The following is a 27,499-nucleotide window of genomic DNA, read 5'->3' on the forward strand; positions in this document are numbered from 1 at the left end:
AAGGCACCATCCATGAACCAGAAAGCAGGCTCTCACCAGACACTGAGTCTGCAGGCACCTTGATCCTCATCTTCCCAGCTTCCAGAACTGTGAGAAAAAATTTACCATTGTTTATAAGCCACCAATTTATGGTATTTTGTTATAACAGCTTGAACAAACTAAGCCAAGACTCTCTGCTCATTTGCTGACTTTAATGAAAGGACACCCAAGTGGCAAGAACTGAAGGAGGCTTGTAGGAATTGGGGATGGCCTCCAGCCAGCAACCTGCAAGATCATGAGGCTGTCAGTCCTACAACTATAAGGAAGTAAATCCTGCTGACAACCTGAGTGAGTTTGGAATGCATCCTTTGCCAGTGGAACAGTTGGATGAGATGCATCCTTGGACAACACTTTGATTACAGTCTTGTAGATGACCAAGCTAAGTTGTGCTCAGACTCCTGACCCACAGAAACCATGAGATAATAAATGTGTGTTGTGTTTAGCTAAGTTTGTGGTAATTTTTTACACAGCAACAGATAGCTAAAACAGTTGATGTTTCCAAAAGCAGTTTCAGTTGAACATATTCCCACATCACCATGTACCATAAGAGAAAAAAAAAAGTTTTCACATCTTTCCACATCAGTTTGGGAAATGTTGCATTCTGTATCCTCTACCCCCTTAGAAGGGCACAGTGTATTCTGAGAAGTACCATGAAGAAACCTTGTTACATTGGAGTTGTTCCAATATTTTTCCATTATGAAGCCCTATTCAGTTTTTTTTTTTTTAACTTCTAGTAACATCCTATAAAACTGCTTTTCAAATTATCTCACCAAAAGTGGTGGTTGGAAAAAGCAAGTCTTCAAGCTGGGGAATGCATTTCCCTGAGGTACATTAAGACCTGCAAAACACACTTGCCCATTGTAGTTTTAAGGTAATCAATTTCCAGATTCTCAACTTCCTTATATTTTCTTTTCCAAACTGACCTGCCAAGAATACTCCAGAGGAGTCTTCAAATCAGTTTTCCATTCCTACTTTACAAAAAATCATCCCTCCCATCCAACCCCAAAAAATCTATAAATGACAATCAAAAGGACAATTTGAAACATTGGTTCCATATTGAGAAAGTGAATGACTTGAAGCCTGGGTATTGAATTTTTTCACAAACCAGATTCTCTCTCTCTCTCTCTCTTTTTTTTTAATCCATTTTTATTTTAGATCCAGTGGGTACATGTGCAGGTTTGTAACAAGGGTAACAAACTGTAATGCTGAGGTTTGGGCTTGTACTTATCCTGTCACCCGGATAGTGAACATATTAACTTTTAGTGTCCCCAGTATCTACTGTTCCCATCTTTATGTCCATGTGTACCCAAGATTTAGCTCCGCCTTATAAGAAAGACAATGCAATATTTGGTTTTCTGTTCCTGCGTTAATTCACTTTGGATAGTGGCCTCCAGCTGCATCCATATTGCTGCAAAGAACATTTTTTCATTCTTTTTAATGGCTTCATAGTATTCCATGGCATATATGTATTACATTTTCTTTATCCAATCCACCATTGATGGGCACCTACTTGATTCTATGTGAATAGTGTTGCAATGAACATGTGAGTGCATGTGTCTTTTTGGAAGGACATTTATTATAATTTCCCTTTAGTATATATCCAGTAATGAGATTGCTGTGTCAAATGGTAGTTTTCTTTTAAGTTCTTTGATAAATCTCCAACTGCTTTCCACAGTGGCTGAATGAATCCCATCAACAGTGTATAAGCATTTATTTCATTTTTTGCAGCCTTGCCAAAATCTGTTATTTTTTGACTTTGTAATAATATCCATTTTGACTGGTGTGAGAGGGTAGCTTATGGTGGTTTTGATTTTCATTTTTCTGACAATTAGTGATGTTGAGTATTTCTTCATGTTTTTGGGCTGCTTGTATGTCTTCTTTTGAGAAGTGTCTGTTCATGTCCTTTGCCCACTTTTTAATGGGTTTCTTTTTCTTATTTGTTTAAATTCCTTATAAATTCTGTATATTAGTTCTTTTTTGGATGCATAGACAAACCAGATTTCCTATTCTTTTCTTTCACTTTGCAGAAGAGCTTATAGCATGGGAGGAGTTGATGTGGATCATTGGAAAATACAGCCTGCCACAAATGGACATAAACGAAAGTCTCCTCATCGATAGTTAAGGTAAAATGAACTGTGTCCAAGGATATGTCTAGGCACATCACTCATGACAGAGTAAAACCGAAAGCTCTGAGCTTCTCTTGCTAAAGGCTGCCTGAGTGTGGCCATCAGTCATGAGGAAAGAAAGAAGCTGAGTAAGTGCTGGGGTTCATGTATACCCTGAGTTAACTCTTACTGCAAAGCAGGGAGGGAGCAGGTAATGAGGGAACCTAGCTCCATGCCAAACCTCTTGATATTGAATCCTCACAGCCACTCTAAAGGTTAGGTGGATTATTATACATGTTGTATAAGTGTCGGAAATTACATTTTGATAATTTGCAACACCAGAACTTGAACCCAGATTTGGGGCTTCATATCCAGTGTGCTTTTAATACCGTCACGTGAGCTTTCCCCACTTCAGCAGGAAGGCAGCAAACCAGCCCATTTCCTTTTCCTTTGTAAGGCAACTCCTTAGATTCCTTTTAGGGAGGTTTTCCTTCTCCAAGGGATCTGGAGGGCACTGGGCTCCCAGCGTGATTGAGATGCAACTTAAGCCCCTGAGCTGTAAACCTGTTCAATTACATACTTAACTTGAAAGCATAACGGCAGGCCATTTTTTTTTTTTAACCCCATGAGAAGTTTATAGAAAGACTGATGGGATTCTGGTGATCAGAAAGTACTTTTGTCTTTCTTTCTCTTTCTCCCTCTCTCCTTCCTTCCTTCCTTCTTTCTTTCTTTTTCTTTCTTGACAGAGTCTCACTTTCTCACCCAGGCTGGAGTGCAGTGGTGGATCTCGGCTCACTGAAACCTCTGCCTCCCGGGTTCAAGCGATTCTCCTGCCTCAGCCTCCCGAGTAGCTGGGACTACAGGTGCATGCCACCACATCCAGCTAATTTTTTGTATTTTTTTTTTTTTTTGAGACGGAGTCTTGCTCTGTTGCCCAGGCTGGAGTGCAGCAGCACAATCTCCGCTCACCGCAAGCTCCGCCTCCTGGGGGTTCAAGCAATTCTCCTGCCTCAGCCTCCTGAGTAGCTGGGACTACAGGCACCCGCTGCCACGCCTGGCTAATTTTTTTTTTTTTTTTTTTGTATTTTTTAGTAGAGACGGGGTATCACAGTGTTGTCCAGGCTGGTTTTGAACTCCTGAGTTCAGGCAATCCTCCCGCCTCGGCCTCCCAAAGTGCTAGAATTACAAGCGTGAGCCACCACACCCGGCCTGATTTTTTGTATTTTTAGCAGAGATGGGGTTTCACCATATTGGCCAGGCTGGTCTCGAACCCTGACGTCGTGATTTGCCCGCTCGGCCTCCCAAAGTGCTGGGATTACAGGCATGAGCCATCGCGCCTGGCCAGGAAATACTTTTCTTTTCTTTTTTTTTTTTTTTGAGACGGAGTCTCGCTCTGTCGCCCAGGCTGGAGTGCAGTGGCGTGATCTCAGCTCACTGCAAGCTCCGCCTCCCGGGTTCACGCCATTCTCCTGCCTCAGCCTCCCGCGTAGCTGGGACTACAGGCACCCGCCACCTCGCCCGGCTAATTTTTTGTATTTTTAGTAGAGACGGGGTTTCACCGTGTTAGCCAGGATGGTCTCGATCTCCTGACCTCGTGATCTGCCCGCCTCGGCCTCCCAAAGTGCTGGGATTACAGGCGTGAGCCACCGCGCCCGGCCCAGGAAGTACTTTTCTAATAAATGAAGGTATGGCTGAGAAATATTTACAGAAACTGAAAAATACAACATTATTTAAATGATGTAAGTCACTGTAAGAACTGAAACACACCAGCTTAATTTACCATGACTTTGTTTATCCATTCCTAAAGTATATTCAGTAGTTACATAGCACATGAACAAGTTAAATAAGATACCCAAGTACAGGTGCTTCATTGTCTCCGAATGAAATATACCAGGAAAAAACAATGACAAAAGACATTGTGATTTTCTCTGGAATTTCTCATGTAAGATGAAATACAGAGGCATATATGATCTACTTGTATAAATTTATTTCTCTATAGCTGGCCTATTCCCCAAAGAAGTATACATGGCTTATAAAATGCACAAAATACAATAGAAGAAAATAAACATAAGTAAGTAAAATCAGGAACAGGTAAAATATAAATTTGAATCCAAGGTTAAGACTGGAGAAAAGTAGAATGCAGACAGGTATGTCCTACTGAGTTATTAAAGTCAAGTTGCAAATTTGGCTCTGGGCTTCCTGGAGGCTAAACAGCTAGAAATTAATGGATAGACTAACAGATTTTGATATGCTATCAGTGGGAAAAATGTATTTTCCATTAGCCGTCTAATTCTTTAATACTTCACACTAAATATCCTATGCAGATAAAGTTTAAATATGGAAATTTTGTGCAAAATAAAGGGTTTGCTAATTAGAAGGAAATGTATAAAGAAGCATGTTTACAAAAGTGTTTCTCATTATGAAAACCGATGGTTTCAAAAAACATGTTATGATAAGGAAGAGAGTTTCAAAGTGTTCCCAGGTTAATCTGGGGAAAAGTAACCAAAAGCCTGCTGCTTTGAAGGTTTAATCCAAGATGCTTATCCAACCTCTTTGTTGAACAAATCTTGCAAATAAGGCCTTCTCAGAAGATTCACAGCATATTCTGTGGGAGCTTGAAATGTCATCAGAACAGGCTTTCTGATGATATTATGCAGGCATAACATCCTAACAGTTGGGGTGAGGGTGGAAGAGGAAGATAGCAAGATTGTTTCATTGCCTGGTTCTTCTGCTGTGCTGCATAACAGCTTTTCTGGCAATGACGATAGGCATAACTTAAAGGGAAAACAAAACAAATAAACAAAAGAAAGAAAACAAGAAAGCTTGACGAGAGCCCTCCGCACAAATCCTTAACAGAAATTCTTGACAATTATGGGTGTTAACAAAGCATTTCAAAAGACGATAGAATTATGACTCTCATGCAGATAAAAAACAAATGCATGTTAAAGATTTTATTTAACTCCTTGTTAAGGAAAGAACCAGAGAAATGTTACCATCAGTTCAAAGGAGAATCCAAAGAGCAGATACATTTATAGATCAGTAATACCGAAATGAATTTTAAAATGGACCTATAAGTGGCTTTTCCATGGAGGAGGAGGGCTGTTCCTCCACCAGACAATTCAGCTATATGTCCACAGACATTATGATTTGCTTTGTCATCAATTATACAATAGCTCAAAGATAATGAAAGGCTAGAATTAGGTAACCCTGGAAAGGTATCTCTAAATGAGGCACCGTTTTCCATTGGAAATACCTAGTAATCTTATTTGTTTGCTCTGAATTTCCTTATTCTGGTAAGTAAATCTGACCTCCATCCTGGACACCCCACTGGTACTAGAGAGACAGCCAGGTGGGAGGGGGTCCCTGGAGAAACTCCAACTAGCCTGCCCACTGGGGTGGAGCCTCGGGAAGTTCCCTGTTTGCAGCAGGGAGGAGCCTGGCCCCTCCTCTTTCTGTGTGGAATTTGGGATTCAAACTGCTGGGCGGGAAGAATTCTAGCAGAGGGACTCTGGCCTTATGAAAGTTCCTGTTTACCCCTTTTTTTTCCCTTTTCACCCAATAAAATCCTGCTTTACTTGCCCTTTAAACCATCTGCAAGCCTAAATTTTCATGCCCGTGGGATAGACAAGAACCCCGACTTTGGCTGAACTAAGGAAAAGTTCTGCAACATTTTTTTGAACATTTAAAAGCAAGTTTTTATTTGTTTATTTACTTATTTTTAGAGACAGGATCTCACTATGTTGCCAAGGCTGGCCTCAAACTCCTGGGCTCAAGGATCCTCCTCATCCTCTCGAGTACTGAGACTGTAGATGCCCACCACTGTGTTGGGCCTTTTTAAATTGAAAAGTTTAAGGGAAGCACAAAGTTTATTAGTTTCAGAGAAAGTCAAATGATGTACATGGGGGATAGTCATGAGTTATCCCATGAACATACAAAAATAAATGCCATTTTACCTCCTTTTTAAACTTAAACAGCTATAGGGACTTGCATTCTTGGTTTCTTTCAAACGTACAATTAAGTTATTACTGACTGTAGTCACCCTGTTGTGCTATCAAATAGCAAGTCTTATTCATTCTTTCTATGACGGAACGCTTTACTGTCTGCTATCCCACAATGATATTCACCCTTTCGTTACTCATCTTTTCCAAACCAGGCTTTCTCAATTTCACCATCCTCACCTCCCCACAGCACATCTGAGGCCCATCTGGAGAATGGTTACCAGAGGCTGGGAAGGGTAGTGGGAGATTGAGGGGAGGTGGGGATAGTTGAACTCTCGTGAGTTCAATTGTTTTCATTTTTAGAGCCCACAAATAACTAAGAACATGCAATGTTTGTCTTTCTGTTCCTGGCTTATTTCGCTTAACATAATGATCTTCAGCTTCATCCATGAAGTCCTGCAACATTTTCGGTGCCCAATGTGGGGCTCAAAAAGCGGTGAGTGAAATGGGGGATCAAAACTGTCGCTTCTCAGCCTTTTCATCCTGGGACTTCTGAGGGTGGGGAAACCATGCCCCCATCCCCCGTCGCTCCCAGGTCTTTTCATGGCCTTTGCCTTCCTTTTTAAAGGCCTTTTTCCTTCCTTTTTCAGGACCCACTGGTGAGCAGCAGCTCCCCACTCCCAGCCGGGGCTGGGACACATAGCGCAAGGGTCCCGCACAGCAGGCTGGCTGGTTTCCAGCCACGCGCGGCTGCGCAGTCTTCCCCTTCCCTCGCCAAGGGGTTTCACTCTATCAGACAGTAATTAAGCTTAACCTTTTCTCCCTGGTGGAGGAACCACTTGCATGAGAATAAGAGGTTGTTCCCCAGGTATGTTTACACCTTTTCTTTCCCCCTCTTCTCCGCCCCATCAGCAGCAAAACCTTTAAAGTTTTCTTCTCCCCTTTACTAGGTTAGGCTCCCCAACTATCACCGTTTATATTTTCTGTAAAGCTTTAATTGTGAGAAAGGATCTGTGGGGCTAGTCTTGGGCTGTGGCCAATCTGGTGTGCTCGGCGTCTTTTTGTTTGCACTGCAAGCCTCCAGCATGTTTTACATCCTGGGGGCATGGCCAGTAACCACTTGGCAAAGCTTTGTTTAGCAACCGTGCCTTAGGGAGTGAGCCCTCTCTGGTTCAGTATCAGCATGTTTTCCTAGCCCTGTCTCCTAAAGGGCCCCGCACAGCGACTGGGTTTTCTCTTGTCTGTGTGTGTGTTGTGTGTAATGTCTGTAAAAAGAGCTCTAATTAATTTGGCTTAAAGAAAGACAAGTGCTTGGATCATGTATTTTTTTTAAGGGAAGTTAAAATCTGTGGTACCTTTCAGTTCACATGACTTTAATCTTTGAGAAATAAAAACAGCCCTAAAGACTACTGGTAAAATGCAGGTCAGATAAAAGGTTTGCTAAGTGTTTTGAGGTTACCAACTGCTGCTCTTTGGGTTTTGGGAGCTATTTGACTTGCTGGCTTCACAACTGGTAAGGACTGGGGACATGTGGAACTAAACACGCTCTTAAGAGGGCAAACCTTGGCTGCAGTTAGCACACAATTAAAGCAACTTACCAAGCTTTACCTTAAAGTTAAAAATTGCAAGGTGTTACCATTAGAACATGTAATTGAGACTACTGAAAATAGATTTACAATCAACGTGTGTAAAAACAGCAAAATTTTTACTGTGTTTGTGTGTGTGTGTGTGTGTGTGTTTTGGTAAAAGGTTATAAGAAGGCATGGAAATGTAAACTTTGGCCTAGGGTTAAAGGATTGTTTTGAGTTAGATAGGAAAAGCTGAAGGTTCAAAGAAGTGGTGGAAGAATTGTGGAAATTAATCTTGCAGAAGAGGTTCCCTGTGTGAACATATTGACTAAATTCAAAAAAGGATATTATTACATTGTTTTTCTGTAAGTTGAGCATTGAAACAAAAGGACGACAAGGTTTTCCTAAGGCGCTAGTCTGCTCTTTGGCAAAATTTGTAAAGGGTTATAAAAGGTTTTTGCTTCTTTAAAATTTCTGAGTAATCATTTTGGCACAATAAATAACTCATGGTATTCTGGAATTCTATTTCATAATATCAAGTGTTTTGAACCTTGAACATTTAACAGCCTTCCCCAAATCACACTTTAGTTTCAAAATTGTCTTCCTTGGCACCTGGCTTTTTGAATGCTTCAGAGGGCCTCTGAAGTGTCCAGGAAAGAGAGGTAAACAGGATTATTTGACATGTTTAGGTACATGGGAATGCCAAAATGATGCTCAGTCTTCTTTAAGTTATATCTCGGTGAATAATTCTAATATATGTTCCCAAATTGTATGGGATTTCTAAATTTCTAATGTCTGAGTATATGCTGTCAATCGTAATTAAGGTAGTTATGTTAAGTTATTGAAACCACGGAGATAACCAAACTTCTTTGTCAATTGTGTTTCTAACTGTAACTAAACTGGACATTTTGCATTCACAGACAATTGTCTTGTTTTAATCCTTTTCAAAGATGGTCTATAATGAGCTATAGAACTTTAAAATGTGCTCTCAAATGCAGGCTTCTGATAACTTTAGAGATTGTAACATTGGAATAAAGGAAAATGTACAGGACTCATGAAGAGCTGAAATGTTTATGAATATCAAGCAAAACAAGAGTTAACTAAATGGACTGAACTCAGGAAGCTGAAGCAATCTTTTTAACCTTTGCTTGGAATATTGCAGATCCTTGTTTTGTTTTTCACAGTTAAGGAAAGTTATTTTGGGCTATTTATGGCTTTTAATTATTAGGCAAGGTATACTCCTATGATCAAAATTTGGAGCATGTTTGTTTCTCTCTGGCTGGTTCCTCTAAGAATTTGGAAACTATCTGTGAGCATTCTTAACTTACGGCAATATAGGTGTTTGCATCAGTGCAGTAAGAATCCATTTTGCTTTTGCAACAGGACGTGATTGGAGAAAATGGTTATTTTACCAAGGCTTTGATTGGAAGGGTATGTTTCCTTTTAAGGAGTCAATCTTAACTTGCAGAGCCAATAAAAGCCCCGTGGGGAAACTGGCCTCATACCCTTGTCTTTGCAGTCCCTGTACAGGGTTCCTGGCTTGTGGTCAGTAAAGAATGTCACTTTCTAACAGGTCTAGGAGCTCCCAGTTTATCTTGGGACTTTAAGAGGAAAGGATTACCCAACTCACAGGTGCCTGAGAATACAAACTCATGGTTGGGCTTGGCTTTAAAAGGTCTTATCGGAGATTCCTTGTGGAACAAACTTCCATCAAAGCCAATCCAAAAGGCCTATGTAGAAACAATTATTCTTGCTGCACTTTATGCAAATAATCAGGCCAAGAATAAGACTATAAAGCCTGTTTTGCAAACCATTAAGTCCTATGATGATTTTTTTTTTTAACACAAATGAGGACTGGAGAGAGATCATGTTTTAAAACTTATACATTTGTCATTAAATTCTAAACTCATTAGTTTTTAAGTTTTTGCCTACATTTTAGAGTAACCCTACTTGTTCCTGGGAACCAACCAGCAATCTTCAGCTGCAGCTCAGAAAGAACAAGAGGGGTGGGTAATGTAGAAATCTGGATCAATATTCTAGTTCCGAGCAATTATCCTGCAAATCCTGCCAGGTGAGGGAATAAATAGGGTGCCCATCACCTGGCAGTTTTCTTTTTGGGAAAGTAAAACCAAGGGAGCTAATTGAAGCCAAGCATCATGCACCCTAATCCTGGCAAGCATAACTATAGCTGCCAGTTATATGGGTATGTCACGAGACATCCTTTCTCTTTCTTTTTGGAGGTGGACTCTGTTCCACAGTTTCACTTTAGCATTCAGCTTATAATAAGGAGTCCATGCAACCCCCTGAGACACACTTTTGTCCCTGACTCAATTCCAAGCTTCAGGTCAGAGCCCTAGAAAAGAAAACTGGATCTGAGGGATCCAGAGGCAGATGATAACGGAAGTTAAAAGGCACAGAGCAGGTGAGCATGGCCGATTCCTGCTGATTAAGCCAAGCCCAAGCTTCCTGTTTCATGGATAAAGGCCACGTTAATATCCCTGGCATAAATGGGGTTAGGGAACTCCCAGGCTACTGAAAGTAGGTTGGAAAGAGCCATAGGTGAGAGCAGATAATTCCTATTCTCTAGGACCTCCCTGCTTCATGGGTGCAAGTTGCTTTGACACCCATGGCGGCACCTGCCAAGGTCACCGGGACTCAGGGATGCAAGGATGGAAGAGGGAATGAGGATGCTCTTCCTTCTCTCCCTCACATACCCCGAGTATCTGCGAGGAAGAGAAGGGAACCAGGGATGCCTGCTCCCCTCTTTCTAGATGGGTAGCCATTCATCTTCAGTCTGCACTCCTTTCGAATGCATCTTGAACCCTTGGGACTCTTTTAAAAAAGAGTCGTCTTTTTTCTTTCTTCTCCTCGGTTCTCTCTTCACTAATAGGTAATTGTGACTCCATACTATGGGACACCCCCCTCAGCTGCATCCTCCAAACTAGAAAGAGTTAATTTCCCAAACCTTAAACTACTTGGCTTGGGATTGGATTCAGAGGAAGGGAGCTCAGAAGCCCAACATGCCTGCAAAAGGGTAAAGTATTTTTGCCAGTCAGGCTTGTCGCCTCCCCTTCCCTGTGCAAACTGGTAAAAGGCCTTGGAATTTTTTGAGCTGTCCTTACCCCTCCCCTTATTTTGTTTTGACACATGTTTTCTAATAACCTGGTTTGTCTGTTCTTGTCTTCAGGCCATCAGACTCCAAACAGTTATGCAACTGGAGCCTCCTGAGGATGACCCCTTCTGCCTGGGACCCTTAGATCAGCCTCTAGAGAAGCTTTGACTGCTGTTTCCCCAAAACAGCACCCCCTGCCATCAGGAAGCAGTTAAGATTGGCCTTCATCCTTATCCTTAATCTACTTCTTTAGAGAGGGGAATGAGACAGCCAGGTGGGAGGGGGTCCCTGGAGAAACCCCAACCAGCTGCCCACTGAGGTGGAGCCTTGGGGAGTTCATGCTGTTTGCAGCAGGGAGGAGCCTGGCCCCTCCTTTTCCTATGTGGAGCTTGGGATTCAAACTGCCAGGTGGGAAGTGCTCTAGCAGAGGGACTGTGACCTAGTAAGAGTCCCTGTTTTGCTCTTTTTTCCCTTTTCACCCCATAAAACTCTGCTTTATTCACCCTTTAAACCATCTGCCAGCCTAAATTTTTGTGGCTGTGGGATAGACAAGAACCCCGTCTTTAGCGGAACTAAGGAAAATCCTGGAACACTAGCAGTGCCAACCTTTGGGGCATTTTGAAGACTATTGTATTCTTTTTCTGTTTGTTTTTGAAATGGAGTCTTGCTCCGTCTCCCAGGCTGGAGTGCAGTGCACTGCTACCTCTGCCTCCCAGGTTCAAGCAATTCTCCTGCCTCAGCCTCCCAGGTAGGTGGGATTACAGGCATGCGCTACCATGCCCAGCTAATTTTTGTATTTTTAGTAGAGATGGGGTTTCGCCATGTTGGCCAGGCTGGTCTTGAACTCCTGACCTCAGGTGATCTACTCGCCTTGGCCTCCCAAAGTCCTAGGATTACAGGCGTGAGCTGCCAATTGTGTTCTTTATCATACTTCCTGGGATTCATAAATGAAGCACTAGCCTTCAATCTTGAAGGAAACAAAATAGGGGGTCCTGGTCAGAGTCCTGATGTCCGTGGAACCTCATGATCTGCCCTAATAACACATCTTTTGATGTGTTTCTGGCTTTAACCTAAGATTTAGGCGTTTGATGAAGGGATGGGATTCGAGAATGTGCAGATCTCATCAACGTCAATAAGTCTGTCTTGTTTTAAGCCCTGTTGTATAAGTGTCAGTTTGCCCCACAAGAACAGTTACTGAATGCCACAGTTTCAAAACAATGCTCTAGTCATAAGTTTAAGAACTCAGCAAACAAAATTAATCAGACCTTTTTTCTTTCCCTCCCTCCCTCCCTTCCTTCGTTCCTTCCTTCCTTCCTTCCTTCCTTCCTTCGTTCCTTCCTTCCTTCCTTCCTTCCTTCGTTCCTTCCCTCCTTCCTTCCTTCCTTCCTTCCTTCCTTCCTTCCTTCCTTCCTTCCTTCCTTCCCTCCTTCTTTCCTTCCCTCCTTCCCTCCTTCCCTCCTTCCCCTCTTCCCCTTTCCCTGTCTTCTGATGTCAGAGACTGGCTACCTGTCTTCCTGGCTTCCTTTGTAGTGAGGGGTAGCCATGTGGCTGAATTCTGGCCAAAGCCTTTCAGGCCCATTTCTCCTCCCTCCTCCCTGCCAGCTGGATGCAGAGGACTCCAAGATTCATGGGAGGATGGAGACCTATTTTGATAGAGCTTGGGTCCCTGAATGATTATGGGCTTTTGGCCTGAGTGAGAAGTGAACATATATTATATTAAGCCTTTGATTTTTGTGATTTATTTTCAATAGCATCTAGCATTAACTTAATGAATAAACATCCTCAATTTCTGTTGAATTTAAAATTTGAAAAATAGGCAATATAGTCACATTGTTCAAAAATCAAAACAATATAAAAGCCACACATTGACACTCTCACTTCCACTCTATTCTGTCCACCGTGCTCCATGCTCTCGTTTCCCAGCCCTATGGTGAACTACTTTAACAGTTTCTTGGATCTCTTTCCAATGTTTGTTTATGTATATAATACAAAAAGTACATGTCAATGATGTATATGAATATGTTCTTTTCTTCCCTTCATAGCTCAAAGGTAGCATACTATTCAGACTGTTTTGTATTTTGCTTCTTTTGCATGACAAAATCTCCTGATGACCTTTCCATTGTGGTGTATAAAAGACTTCTCACTCTTTCATAGTTGCATAGTATTTCATTGGGTAAAGCATAGATTATTTACTAGTCATCTATTGATGGACATTTGTCAACCCATCTCCTTGAAAGTAGTTATGTAATTGGAATAAATCAGTTTCAGTTTAGGATTTAAGCCCAGGCCTAGTTGACTGCAGATCCTAGGCACTACCCCACCTTCTTTAGGAAGAGACAGGCACTTGGAAGAGTCTTTTCCTTATTCACAAAAGGCAACAATATAAGGCATGAAGTGGGAGTCAGCTAACCAAAATAAAGTGAGGGTGAGGTTGAGTGGACTTGCCCTTATCACACCAGATGGCAGGAGAAAGACACGACCACCTCTTTCAGCTGTCTCCACATAGTATCTGTGTCAACAGAGCACTACAATTGTATTTGTACTCCAAGGCCCTGTTTATCCTGTCTCTAGTGAAACACCACTTTTGAGACCATCACTAATTTACATGTCAGAACCAACTCTTTCAGCCTCTATCCCTCACTGGCGAAGAAACAAACAGTCTACTGATTTTATTGCCAATTTAAGAATTTACACTGCGCACAGTGGCTCACACCTGTAATCCCAGCACTTTGGGAGACCGAGGAGGGTGGATCATGAGGTCAGGAGTTCAATACCAGCCTGGCCAACATGGTGAAACTCGGTCTCTACTAAAAATACAAAAAATTAGCTGGGTGTGGTGGCACACACCTGTAGTCCCAGCTTTTCAGGAGGCTGAGGCAGGAGAATCGCGTGAATCCAGGAGATGGAGCTTGCAGTGAGCCGAGATCATGCCACTGCACTCCAGCCTGGGTGACAAAACAAGACTCTGTCTCAAAAAAAAAAAAAAAAAGAATGTATAGCTCAGGGCCTCCACTCTGTCTTCTCTCTCTGCCTCTTCCACATTTTCTCTAGGATGTCTAAAACTAGACTCTGCATCCTCATCTTCCTATATCTTCCAGAATCAAAGTCAAGGAGCCACTGTTGAGTGTCCTAAACCCTAAAGGCCAGAAACAAATCTTACAGGTTCTTTCTTCACAATGTTCCTCACATGGCGGAGGAGGAGGCATGATTTGAACATAGCTTTGTGTGATTCCAAGTGCTGAGTGCTAAATGCTCTTCTATGCGGTATAAATTAGTTATTGCAGATGGTTTAGCACATAGACACTGTTCCCACACCAGTGTTCCCACCATTCTCACAAATAACAAAACACACTGAGAACACATTAAGGCATCCATCCTGGAAAAGATTAGGAATTGTGTAGTCCGGTGGAATCCTAGATCTTTCGACAATAAAAGATCCCTAGAGATGAACTTGTCTCACAGGCTGCTTTCACAAATGAAGAGACAGTATCAAAGAGGCTGGGCCTTGGTCAAGAGTGACACAGATGAGCAATGGGATTTTAGCCTTCTGATGTCCCTTGCATTTTTGATTATGTTTCAAGCCTCACTTTCAAAAGTTTGTATTATTAGCCATGCTTTTAACTGCTCTTAATTTAAAACTTTATTAATAGGCTGTTGTTGACCTGCATAAGTAGTCCTTAGTTTAATTTAGGCTAAAAGAAATCATTCATCACTGTAAAACCATTGACCTTTGCAGCTGTGAGTACTGCAGGTTCCTGTGTTGTTTTGAAAGCAGTGCTGAGCTTCGTGAGTAGGGGTAAGGGAAGGCCGGCTCCCTAGGCTGAGATGTGGAGAATGACTGTGTATTAGGCCATTCTCAAATTGCTGCAAAGAAATGCCTAAGACTGGGTAATTTATAAGAAAAGAGGTTTAATTGGCTCACAGTTCTACAGGCTGTACAAGAAGCATAGTGCCAGAATCTACTTCTGGGAAGGCCTCAGGAAGCTTTAACTCATGGAGGAAGGTGAAGCAGGAGCAGGCACTTCACATGGCAAAAGCAGGAGTGAGAGAGTGTGGGCAGGAGGTGCTACACACTTTTAAATGACCAGATCTCATGTGAACTCAGATTGAGAGATCACTTATCACTGAGGGGATGGCCCAAGACATTCATGAGGGATCTGCCCCCAGGATCCAAACACCTCCCCCCAGGCCCATCTCCAGCTTTGGGAGATTACATTTCAACATGAGATTTGGGTGGGGACAAATATCTAAACTCTATCAGACTGCATATGCTTTGAGCATGCCAGTCCTCTTCCTACTGTTTCCCCTGAGCATCTAGAATATTGCTGATCCCAAAGCTTCTTTGTCAATGTTGCAGGGCACATGAGTGCATCCCCAAGAAAACAACATAGATAAAGACAACCATTTTTCGTTATCCTTTGATGCTCAGCCAGATTTTTCCACCCCGGTGTAAATTTAATACCCTACTCACAGGGTTGACCTATACAGACTTAATCCATGACCTGTCAGAAAGCTTGTTCAACTTGTATTGTCACAAATTATGACTTAAAGAAATGCAGTGCCAGAGTAAAAATTGTTGGGCTGCTCCATCCTTAGGAGAAGAGGGGAGTGGGGAAGGCAGATCCATGTGTAGTCCCCTACTTTGTAGGTTCAGACTCAGTTTCACCCATTATCCTTGGGACCATTGGGCATTAAGCATAATTGGTTCAAGATAAACAAAGGTGGTGATGCTGATTTTCTCTGTTGAAGGATGTACCCCCATCCTCCCAAACAGGGAGGATGAAACAGGATTCTTACCCATCTCTGACCACCTGAGCCCACACTAGAATAATCATTGTATTTCATCCCCTTGGCATTTCTCACAAATGAGCATATAATCCAAATCTGAACAATAGGAAGTATTCTTTAAGATTTCCTTTGTTGGAATGAGCAAAATCACTTTTTTTCCATCTTCCTTGTGAGCTATAAACTATGACCTCAGAGCTGCCAGCATCTTTCCACACATAGAAAAGCCCCAAACAATGACAAGAACAGAATGTGGAGTGCTAGGTTCCCTAGCCTGCAGGCCTCAAAGCAGCCCTGGTTCCTGATATTCCTCCTTTGCAAGCCAAACTGATCATTTTCCAGACAACCTCTTTGCTTAGCGTAGGTTGGGTTCATGTAAAATAAAGAGTGCTGGCTATGCACTGTATTCCCAAGAGTTTGTTTTATAAACTAGGCTGTCAATTTTAAAAATTTATGCTAAGAAATAACTGCCAAGAAGATTGGGGTTTTACTGTAGGCTGGGTAGCTCATTCTCTTCCCTAGAGGACAGCCTATGTGGGAAACCAAATAATGATGAAAAGATTGCTTCGCAAGTGCAATGTCGGGATAAAAGGAGTCGGACAATCTCAAGGGGGCACTTTTGACAATCTGTGGCGCTTTGGGGACATAATGCCTGCTAAGGAGGGCAGAACAATTCTGCCAACTAAACAAGGCCCTGCTCCCTTGCGTAGTTCTTAGAGGCACACTGACAGTTCTTCTTTCCAACTTTCCTCTTTAATATTTCTTATCAATCACCAAATGATGTATACCTCTGGGACTTTGCCCATTGCCATCACCATCCTCCCCCAACCCAAAGCCTCTCACTGCCACCCACCCCTTTTCTCTTCTCTGATTGTAGAAATTCATCTTCTTGAATCTGACAGCCCACACCAACTCTTCTGCGAGGCATTCCTGTTTCTGCCCAAATCAGACTTTAATCCCACCCTCTCCTGTGCTTCCCTTTCGGAGCAAATTGTGCCCATTTTGCAGTGTTGCAAGCTGTGGCTGTGTTATGTCTTCTAGAATATGAGTTCTTTGAGGACAGGGATAATGAGTTCAATCTTACCCATTCTTTGTGACCCCCAGTTTCTAATGTAATTCATTGCAAATAGTAGATGCACAAAATACATGTTGGGTGTTGCATATGGTAACATTAATTAGTGAAGTTTATTATTTGTTTCATTCATTACAGAGAATTGGGTTGCCCAGGACTTTTTGAGTAACAAGGGACAGAAAATCAAACTAACTTGAAAGAGTTTGGGGTGAAGACCTCAGAAGCAGGCTTGAGCAACCCAATGACAGGAAGGGCAGGGACATGGCTGAGGCTGGAGGACAGCTGGTCCCAGGATTGTGGACATGCTGAGACTTTCTGTCTTTTGTCTCTGTATTGCTCTCCAGTACCAAGGCAGACTGTCTTCCTCCTCACACGGGGGAATGTGGATGCTGACAGGCTTAGAGCTTCACATCTCATAATGTTTGCTACCCACAGGAACTGAAAAATTCCCCAGCTTGAGATGAGAAATTCCTGTAGGATTAGAGGGGATATGAGGTAGATTGTGGCATTGGCCCCAAATCTTTATTTCTCCCTGAATCTTTATTCTTTGATTTTCACTGTGTAAGTTCTCCCCAGAAGATAGGCTACATTTCCCACCTCTTGACTTCATGTTTGGATGAAGTGGAGATAGCAGAGTGTCCGGCCTCAAAGGCCTCTTCTGCTTCTGCCTTGCTTTTGTTCTTTGGCTATTTCATGAGAAGGACATGCCCAGGCCAGCTCTCAGGTCCCAGGATGGGATAAGAGGCATGTGGAGCAGAGCCACCCAGCTTGGTCCAGGCTGCAGATGCTGACCCCCAGCTCACCCTAATTGCATGAGCGAGCTCAGCCAAGATCATCAGAGCTGCACAGCTGAGCCCAGCTGCCACTCATGTGACACCCAGACCAGGGAAAATAAATGATTGTTGTTTTTAGCCGCTGAGTTGTAAACCTAGAATTTTTGAGGCAATAGTTAATTGATACAAACTAAGTCTCAGGTTTGTGACTTCCTAGCTACCTGACCTTGGGGGAGGTACCTACCCATCTGTATTTCTCTCTCTACCTCTGTAAAATGGGGACGGTAACAGCATAGAATTGTTGTGAGAATAAAAGTTGTTAAATATACAATGTCTGGCACATAAAAACACGAGTATATTTTAGTTATGATGGTGATGATGATGATTACTCTTTCACATGCCCACTCACAAACAGTTGTTGCTAGGGAGGTGGGCGGGGTCCTAGGAAGTGACCTTGCTCGGGGAGGTGTTCATCCCTGGACGAATCCAGTGAGGACAGAGGAGTGGAGGGTCTGTAAAGACATTGCGGCTGGTTGGATGTGGTGGAAGAAATATTCCCCAGAAGACATGAGTGCTGATGCTAAATTAAGATGAGAGGAAGTTTGGGCAGACAAAACAAAAAAAGGTGCACTTCGAACATTTTAGTTATTTCTAAAATCATAGTTTCATTGGAAACTCTGGATCGCAACAAATGACTTCAGACACATAACATAGAGCAAGGAGCATGAGTGCATCCCATCTCCTCTGTTTACTAGGCATTTAATCTTAGGGAAGCTTGAATGAAAATAATAATTCCCATCTCCCAATGTGGTGTTAGGAATTAAATGAGATAATGTATGTAAAACAAGTGGGCTAGTCCATGACGTATAGCAGGCACTCAGTAAGTGGTAGCTGTTGTTGTGGCTGGTATCCTTGACCCCTCTGTGATGGGCTATTTCTCATTAGCTTCCACTGAAGGAGGGGAGCCTTCATGACCTTGCCTCTTGCATTTCTGGAGTTCCCTCCACTGACTGCAGCCTAAAGCACATGCTGTTAAAGTCATGTTTGTGAAGTCTGAACGTGAGCAAGGTGCATCAATTCTAGCGCAATTAATGTTGAACATGTCCATGCCTCTAGTTTTTCAAAGGTGGCAGCCTCAGAAGAAACCCTGTGATATCTGACCTGGAAATCCTTTTTGGTGCAGAATCTGAATTGCAAAGCTGTTATTAAAACCTGCAAATGATCAGCAGTGGTAAATGGGAGACGTTAACTGCCTGTAACTCTCTTTGTCTCTCCTTGGCTGACACTCCTGACTGATGCTGGGAAAATGGCGAGCAGCTCGCTATGCTGGGCTGTAATTAGTGTATGCCTGGAAGTGCAGACCTTTTCATAAATAGAACTTTGTGGGGAATTGCTCATTATTCCCGTGATTTTAGGAAATAAAGAAAGACCCCAATTAGTTTTCAATCTCAAGAAAGAAAAAGAAGCAACAAGCAGTTTTCCTCTGGCAACAAAGAGAGAGAGAGAGAACCTGGTCATACCCAGGGTTATGTCTACAGGAATCACAATCTGATGGAGTGGATTTTTCCCCTCTCATCCCCATGCATGGCAGCAAATAGACACAATCTCTATCTTGCCCAGAGAAAGATGAAGATGTGTCTTAATAGGCTGGCATTTCTGAGCACTAAAAGCAATCACCCTTTGTCATAACATGTGCTGCCATCAGGAAACTGGGGAGAACAGTTGATAGTGTTTGAATGAAAAGCTTTACCTTGAAGAGGAGATGATCAAAGAAAGTGTTTGATGTCACTATGTGGAGTTAAACTGCCATTCATAATTGTAAATATATTGTTTGGATAAATTAAAAAGTTTTCATCATGGTAAGTGTATGTTTGAACATGGGGTGTGTTGTAGTACTGGCAGAGAGGTGGGAGGGTTGTAAGTGGAGCTCAGTGGGCTAGAATGTTCTAATACATTGCTGAATTTCAGAAAAGTGGAATTGTGCACGATGGGTTGTTCTGGTGCTTGGCCACTAGTTCATCAGAGGCGACAGAAAGACATCAGCAGGCTCAGGCATCTCAGCATATCCACAGAAATGTCACTGCACTTGCTGTCCTTCAGAATAATTGGTTAATTCTCAGCCTGGGAAGGGGCTTCAGTGAACTATGGAGATGCTGTGATCACACAGCACCAGTGGTCCCGGCACACAGGGGTTTATTCCAGTGGCTTTGCAGGGAGTACATGATCAATGGCTGTTTTTGAAAGATCTTGATTTGGGGTAAATTTACTTTCCCATCATGAATGCCATGCTATCAGAAAGACAAATTAATTTAACATGAGTGACTTAGTGCTCCCTTATGAATTACTTTCCAATTGTTTTTAATAGCATCTCTTTATCTCTAGCACAAGAAAACACAGTTGACCTTTAACAGCCTCTTTTATAAATGAACCCAATTGCAGTTCAGCTTTCCCACTTTCAGATCTTTATCTCCTGGCACCTTGAATCCAAACTCATCTGGATGCAGGTCCAGCTGTCTCTCTAATGGTATCTATCCATTAATTAAACACTCTGTGCTTAACAGCTTGCACACCAGCAGCGTAAAGGATGAGAAGGCAGTTCTCCTTTAATCTACAAATATTTATTTTCTTTTGGGAGGATTGGTTGGGAGAAGATTAAGTGTACAGGAGGATGACCAGCTTATGGAGAATATGTATGTTTTGGTGGAAGTTTCCTGCCGAGTCACATCAGGTGCAGTTCGTAAACAGGAAGGCTGGCTCCTATTCCCTGCAATCATAAATTATGAAATACCAGTTAAAACAAGCATCTGGACTGAGGAATGTGTCTTTGTCCTCTCAGTATTTTAATGAATGCATGTGAATGAGTTTACAGGGAAGAGTGAATATAACTCAAATGGAATTGGACTCTGATATTTATGGGCTCCTGTCTGCACAGGAGCCGGGTCATGGCTTGTATATTCTTATCTTGCCACAGAGCATTATGGGGGAATCCTTAGTCCATTTACCTTTTTCTGTGTTTCTCAGATTCATTCATCACTGAATTGTATAAAAACTTCCCTGGAATAGCAAAATAACAAGTTGAAAGTTAGGCACAGCGTTAGCTTTTTAAAAATATAATTTTTAAATACAGAAGGAGTATACGAGTGTGGTAGAATATTAGAAAACACAGAAAAGTAAAACTAGCAGAATAAATAGACTATATTGCAAATGCCTAAAGACTGAACAGTAGATACATCTTCCCAGATAACTTTTTATGTCTTTGGGATATATATATGTATATAATGTTGGGGGTAATCTGCTTCTTTAGTTAATAATGTCTATTTTTCAATTCAGTATTATTTTATCTCATCAAACACCAGAGTATATTCACATTTTTATAATTGTCTCAAAAATGTTCCTTATTGCATTTAATTGTTATACCTCTAAGATCTCTTTCAGTCTGCTGTGGTACATTGTTTCATGCACTAACGTGTCAGAAAGAATGGACCAGTCATCCAGGAGGGTGACTAAATTAAACTAAGCTCCATGGCTTAGTTTAGTTTCCCTGGTTAGCAGAGCCTGAGATAAGGACTTGGCACCAAGTAGTTTTGGGAATGTGATCCCATGAAGCAGAAGTTAAGGAGCAGGAAAACAAACAGGAAGAAGGAAATGTTGATGGAGAGATAGATGTGTTATTAAAGTTGCCATTGTAAGCAATGGGGTTCAATTCCGCCAGGATCTCTGAGAAAGATCCAGAATGCCCCTGGAATTGCCCACCTGGAAGACAGGAGTCTGAGGTATTTCACTATCTCCTTTGGGAAGGAAGACATTAACTCCTCTCTGCTTTGAGCTGTGCTTGTACAGGCCTGGAGCTTATCGGATATCAGAGAACATCTTGAGCAAGAACATGGAAACACTCACCCAGCATCTCTCCCTCTAGCTGCAATCAGAGGTAGGCCAAGGGCATGTGATGTGGGCACTGGAGCCCGTGTTATAGATTTGTCTGGGAAGACTAGATATTGTCTTCATTGCTGAATTCACAGGGAAGATTCCTGTTAGGAACACAGCATGCTCAACTGTGTTCAAATTTGTGAATTTTAGAATACACAAAACTGCTATTAAAAACAACTCTGTCTAGAAGGCAACTCCAGAAGGTTGTTACTATTTAGTAAAGACTTACTGCATAAGCCTATCTTTCACATGATTTACAGAATGCAGCTATGCATGTAACTTCTTTTTGGCGTCATGGAATTGCATTAGACATCAAATGAGTGATATAGAAGCAACTTAGGGGGAGGACTGTTGAGTCGGTAGGGTTGGAGCCCCCTCAGCCTCTGTTTGCAAGAGTTGATGGGCCTGAGTGGAAGTAAACTTCAGGAAAGCCAGAAACAGGGGCGGAGACGTCCAAGCCAGGTTTGCTGCTTCTGGGGGGACTTATGTCGAGTTCTGTAAAGAGGGACTAGAGGCTGAGACTGGTGGAGCTGTTTCTGGGAGGGAATGTGGGGCGAGGGGCATGGACAAAGTCGCCCTTGTGCCCGGGTGCTGCATGGAGAGGAGCATGCTTCTGCTTCCTCAAGGGCCACAGGGCCACACTAGCTCCTTAAAAGTTAGGAAAAATCAGGAAATTGATCCTGGAAACAGACCTTCAAGTTCTCATAGACGACATGGCTAGGAGGGCATCATCTTCAAGTGCCTTTGCAGGTAGCAGTTACAAAGGAGCAGACCGAAGAGAACATGGCGGGTGCTGCAGTGTAACTCTGGAGTGATCTGACAACTGGCTACGGGAGCACATTAGGGTGACCCCCTGCAGACTCCCCAAAATAATTGAATCAGACTTTACAGGGTGTTGCATAAGTAGATGGAATCAATGCCATTGAAATTAGTGTTCACGTAGATACTGTGAATCTCGCTTCTTTCCACGTAAGAGTAAGGCCTAGGAGATACGGGTTACAAATAAATCATGATAGAACCAGAAGCGCACCTCATTGGGCCTGGTGGCTCAGGGCCCTTAACCTGTATCGTAAAGCCTCTGTGGCATGTGTTTATAACACTATCACAATAGTGTCTAGCTTGTGATCATATCCTCCTAAAATGTGGAGTATTATTACGGATTACACTGTGGAGGTTAGAAACCCCTCAAATGTGACACATAATTATGGAAAGAGCCAGTCCTATTGCTCTCACCCACCCTTTGTTGGCTGGCTTATCTCTGTGTGGGTATTGATCACTGCTGGGAGAAAGGTTGTATATTCAACCCCTCTGCCAAAGCAAGGAGATTTATCTGAGTACAAGTAATGGAAGGTGACAAGAAGAGGGAAAATATGGCCAGGAATCAGCTACATTTGATGAGACAGTGATGTCTGGAGGAGTCGGTGACAAAAAAAGAGGAAAATCAGAGCACTGTCACTCTGCAGAGCACGGCCAGCAGCACCTGCAGGTGATGTATGATGATACAGGCCCCCGTGTGCTACCTTCCTAAACTGGGCTATGTCAGCCTCTCATGAACAAGCAGATTTATTGTATTGTCACTGCTGCATCAACGAGCAAGGAAGTTGTAAGGATTGTGGGTAATAGAGTTTTATTTTTTTCTGGTTAAAGCCAACAGCCTACCTCCTTTGTCTCAGCAAGCAGGGGACTCACAGACAGAACAAATTGGAGTTTATACATACACTGATTATATTCCTATCCTTCCATGTTTTGTTATCATATGTTTTTGATTTTTGTTGTTACAAAAATAATGAAAATAACACAAATTATAGTAATATATAATATGTGAAGAATAAGCTTTATCTTCTGTGTTTCCTGCTGTTCCTATATTTTTACAAATTATCTATGATTACTTATATTTTTAGTTATTGTGAGCTAATAATAAAATACACCTGGGGAGAGAGTTTGTCAAGGTGCAGAGGGGAGTGTTTGTATACTCTTGGTGGCAAAGTCATTTGGTGCATTGTTTTAGGAGACAGTTTGGAAATATGTAGTTGAATTTAAAATGTGAACTCCCTTTGATCATGCAATTTCACTACTAGGAAAACTCTTCTACTGATATGCTTGTATAAACATGCAAAGGTAGATAGAAGGATGATCACAAAAGTGCCCTTTAGAAATGAGAAATTGAAAACAAACTAAACATTGGTCAGTAAAAGAATTGATTAAATAAATTATAGTGCAACTTCACGATGAAATATTACTCAGTATTAAAACAAGTAGTGTGCATTGAAAAAAGCAAGCCCTAGAACAGTTTGTGGTGTATAATTCCATTTTAAAATATATATACATGTGTGGATCCCAGTAATGAGCACCTGCAGTCCCAGCTACTCGGGAGGCTGAGACGAGAGGATCCCTTGAGCCCAGGCATTCGAATCCAGCCTTGTCAACATAGTAAGGCCCTGTCTCTAAAGAAGAACAAAACATTACACACACACACACACACACACACACACACACACACACACACACGTATGTATGTGTATATTATTATATATACCTGTGACATTTCTGGAAAGGAATAAAAAGTTGGAACTATCACTCTGGAAAATGTAACTGAGGGGTGGTTGTAGAGGCGAAAATTAGATACTATTGTACAAGGTGAAAACATAGTACCAGCATCTTTTACTTATGTAAATTTTAAACACTCAAAAATAAAAAGCGAAAGGGACTATAATTATCTTTCAGGATTTGTTTTGAACACAGACTGCCTCAAGATAGGTAGGTGACCCAAATGACTAACTGAGGAACATCCTTTCATGTGATCTTATCCCCACTGAGTAGGTGTTTCCTTTCTTCTTTTTACATTCAGTATAATTTTCAGCAACTGCAAAATATGTCAAGAAGGGGGAGAAGTAAATTGAGTAAAAATGGTTGTATGGAATTAGAAGAAAACACCTATAAATGGTAGGGAAAAAAGCCTTGTTGACAGTCATCAACCAAGAGGAGTGTACCATCTACTTTGAAATTTTTTCATTTTATTTTAAATTAAAAAAAATTTTTTGAATGGCTGGAGTTCTAGCAGCCAACTCGCTACTCTTGACTGCCTTTTCTGACTATTTTTGTCTGAAGCTACTGACAATGCTATTTTGACTGAACTCATGGTCATTTCAACCACATTTAATTCTCAAGAAGTAGAAGTTCTTGTTAATATTCTTTCCCATGTATAGCTGTTGCTGATGTTCTCGCAGGTGAGGGGGAGCCAAATTGTTTAGAAAGAACAGTATCTCCAGTTCTTGGAAGGATTTTGAGCTGAGAGACCACCAGAGATGTCACCACTGTTTGATGTTACTTGCAAAAAAAAAAAAAAAACAAATTCTTTTCAAGAAGCCTATACATAACTGGTTAAAGTGAACTTTTTGATTGAATGAACACTTTATTAAATTGACTACTTCGCTGGTATTGTGAAGTATTTTCTATGTGTTAGGTCCTGCTAGACACTGGGGGTATAAAGATAAAAGTACGTATTCTTATGAACTTTACAATATAGTTGGAGAAGTAAAGACATGATCCACAAATTACAATATAACATGTTAATTGCAAGGAAGTGAGTGGGTACAAGCTGTAGTCAGCAGGAAACACACACGCTGATATTTATAACTGAAAAACACACGGTCACTTTAGCTTATTAATTAGGCTGGAAAGAATCTACTATGTAGAAACCATCCTAAGCATTTTCTAAGAGGAGCTATACGTTGTTGTAAAATCAAAACCTAATGGTGGGGATGGTGATCCTGGAGGGGAAAAAAAAACATAGAATGTCATGACTGTCCATTTATGACACTCATCCTGTTTTCATTCTTGGAAGGTCCTCTTTTTCTCCAGATAATGTTGCTATTAAAAACTCAGTGTCCTTTTGTGTAGTTTTACAACTTAGGTAATTGAGAAATATTTTCCTTCTGAATTTTGCACAAGAAACAGACAATTAGATTTGCACTGCTTGCAAAAACTTAGGAAATTTTGAGGCAAAAGTAGTAGTTATTAATGAATAAACAAGAGAGCTTTTGACATCATTAAAGACCACTAGATTCCTCCTTCCTGTTTTAAAGCCTTCCACACTTCTCAGTTCCATTTACTTTTAATTATATGATTATGAATAAATCACATAAAAATAATAGATCTGGGTACATTAATTATGTATTGAAAGACAAGTAGATCCAACAGATTAAACAGAATAGAATAAGTGTGTGTATTTAGTGATTTTTGTTTGGCTGTCTGCTCTAACAAGCACCACCCAAATTTACTGTTGTGTGCAGAAAAAAGAGAGAAAAAGGAATGTGACAGGTAATTCTAGGACTGTGTTGAACTGAAAAAAAATTACATAATTAAATAGCTCCAAGGTGTACTGTATAACAGTTCTTATTAGTTCTCTAGTTTGATATTTGGGGCCCTTCGGAATGAATGTGTTCTAGCTTTCTAGAAGGCTTTGGAGTTAGCCTTGCGCCATCTGCTGGATCATGTTAGTATTTGCATCTGCACTAGAATGGGGTGTTGGAAAGACATTCAGATTCACATTTTAATGTCTTTTGCTACTAGCCATGGCAGAGGATCCCCCACCATTTTTTTTCCAGCTTATAGCATTTTCCTCTGAATGTGCTTTATCTTCTCTCTGTCTTTGCTGCCAGGAAGATGCACCTAATTAAGCAAATTCCATTTGTTTTTCAGATACGGTGTGTCTAAAATATGGCCTCTGCAAACAAATGAGATGTAGAGGACAGTGGGCGGGTGCACAGATCTGAGCCTCCTCCCATGTGCTTGCTTGGATGCTTATGTCTGTAGGCAGGGGACAAAAAACATAGTCAGATAAGCTGAACTACTAATGTCTTATTTTATTCTTTCTGTTTTTATAAAACATCTTGTAAATAAAGGTGTCCTCATTAGGTTTTATTCGGTAAATGAACTTTGTCTGATATAAGAAACAGGGAAATGTTCTGGTAAAGAAAAAAGGAATTGCTAAAACAATGAACATTTAAATTATTAGGTTTACAGAAAGATCAACACTTGAAATTATGACTGATAATTTCTTATTATTCTCTGATAACTAGACTGCTTTTGAAAACAAATCATTGGCTAAACATTTCATGAAATTCTCTCAAGGACTGGGATGAATTCCAAGATGGCTTCATTGTTATATGTAAACAAAGGCAAATAAGCAAAGCTGCAGAAAAATGCCCAGAGGACATTTTCTCACTGGATAAACACATGAGGTCTTACTGGTCATGGGTTAACTACTTCACATATTTTAGATCTTTAAATTGCTGGAGCACTCACATGGGAAACAAGTATAGCCACTGTTTTTATGATGAAGATTTTGCCATAATTTCTTTGTTTATCCTTTTGTCATTTTGTGTGCATTGTGGTACTCGTGGATGAGTGTTATTGGTATTTCTAACTGCACTGTAAGTCTAAAAAACTGCAGTATTCCCCATTTGACTCACCAGTCCCCATTTAACAAGTTAGGAAAAGAAATGAATTTGAGACACTGAGTTCCTGTCTTACAAATTGTGGGATCTCATGGAAAATACCAAGTCAGACAGCAAGTTAGCATTTTACACTTTTAGGATAATAGGTCAGCAGGAATGCAGCACAGGAGAAGGTGCAAAGGTCCAGAGACTAGGGACATAAGGATCTGACAGCTTGCTGCAGTCTTGTTATGCAAGATCAGCTGTTCAAGAGCAAATCTGTTAAATCTCACATTTACTTCTTGTCTGACACTGGGGTTGGCCACTCAGCAGATGCAGATGACAAGAGGAAGGCAACTGTAACAAAACAGAGCCTTGCATGTCAGGGAAACTTCTGTCATGGCCCGTTTTCATTTAACCTCAGCACTGAGTCCCATTAGAGGAGCCCTCTAAACACCTCTCTGAGCTGCTTTGATCTGAAAAGACTGAGTTTCATGAAACTTGGGGAAGAAATAGAAAGTATGTATATGAATAACTATGGGTGAAAAGTCTTGGATGAGGCCACTTTCAGAAGACATTTGTTATTTCAAGAGTGTTTGATTTAAATAGGAGAGTAATAGAATAGAATAATAGCGATATAAGTATATAGGAAGTAAACTCCATCATTACTAAGTAAACAGCTGCCATCAGCAACTTTTCTATATAGTCACAGCACCTTTGAGGGCTCTCTTTGCAGCAACAA

At 41.4% G+C, this 27,499-nt stretch overlaps 4 annotated features.

Moving 5' to 3' along the window:
- Window positions 6,234-6,981: an enhancer, noted in NCBI's record as "OCT4-NANOG-H3K27ac-H3K4me1 hESC enhancer chr7:11232333-11233080 (GRCh37/hg19 assembly coordinates)". NCBI's record gives its function as "activates a minimal SCP1, AML or CMV promoter by ChIP-STARR-seq in naive H9 embryonic stem cells {active_cell/tissue: H9 hESC(naive)}" and the evidence as "EXISTENCE:reporter gene assay evidence [ECO:0000049][PMID:30033119]".
- Window positions 6,982-7,728: an enhancer, noted in NCBI's record as "OCT4-NANOG-H3K27ac-H3K4me1 hESC enhancer chr7:11233081-11233827 (GRCh37/hg19 assembly coordinates)". NCBI's record gives its function as "activates a minimal SCP1, AML or CMV promoter by ChIP-STARR-seq in naive H9 embryonic stem cells {active_cell/tissue: H9 hESC(naive)}" and the evidence as "EXISTENCE:reporter gene assay evidence [ECO:0000049][PMID:30033119]".
- Window positions 25,704-25,753: an enhancer, noted in NCBI's record as "active region_25660". NCBI's record gives its function as "activates an Ori minimal core promoter by ATAC-STARR-seq in GM12878 lymphoblastoid cells {active_cell/tissue: GM12878}" and the evidence as "EXISTENCE:reporter gene assay evidence [ECO:0000049][PMID:35858748]".
- Window positions 25,844-25,893: an enhancer, noted in NCBI's record as "active region_25661". NCBI's record gives its function as "activates an Ori minimal core promoter by ATAC-STARR-seq in GM12878 lymphoblastoid cells {active_cell/tissue: GM12878}" and the evidence as "EXISTENCE:reporter gene assay evidence [ECO:0000049][PMID:35858748]".

The sequence above is a fragment of the Homo sapiens genome, chromosome 7 (assembly GCF_000001405.40).
Source record: "Homo sapiens chromosome 7, GRCh38.p14 Primary Assembly".
NCBI classification, from domain to species: domain Eukaryota; kingdom Metazoa; phylum Chordata; class Mammalia; order Primates; family Hominidae; genus Homo; species Homo sapiens.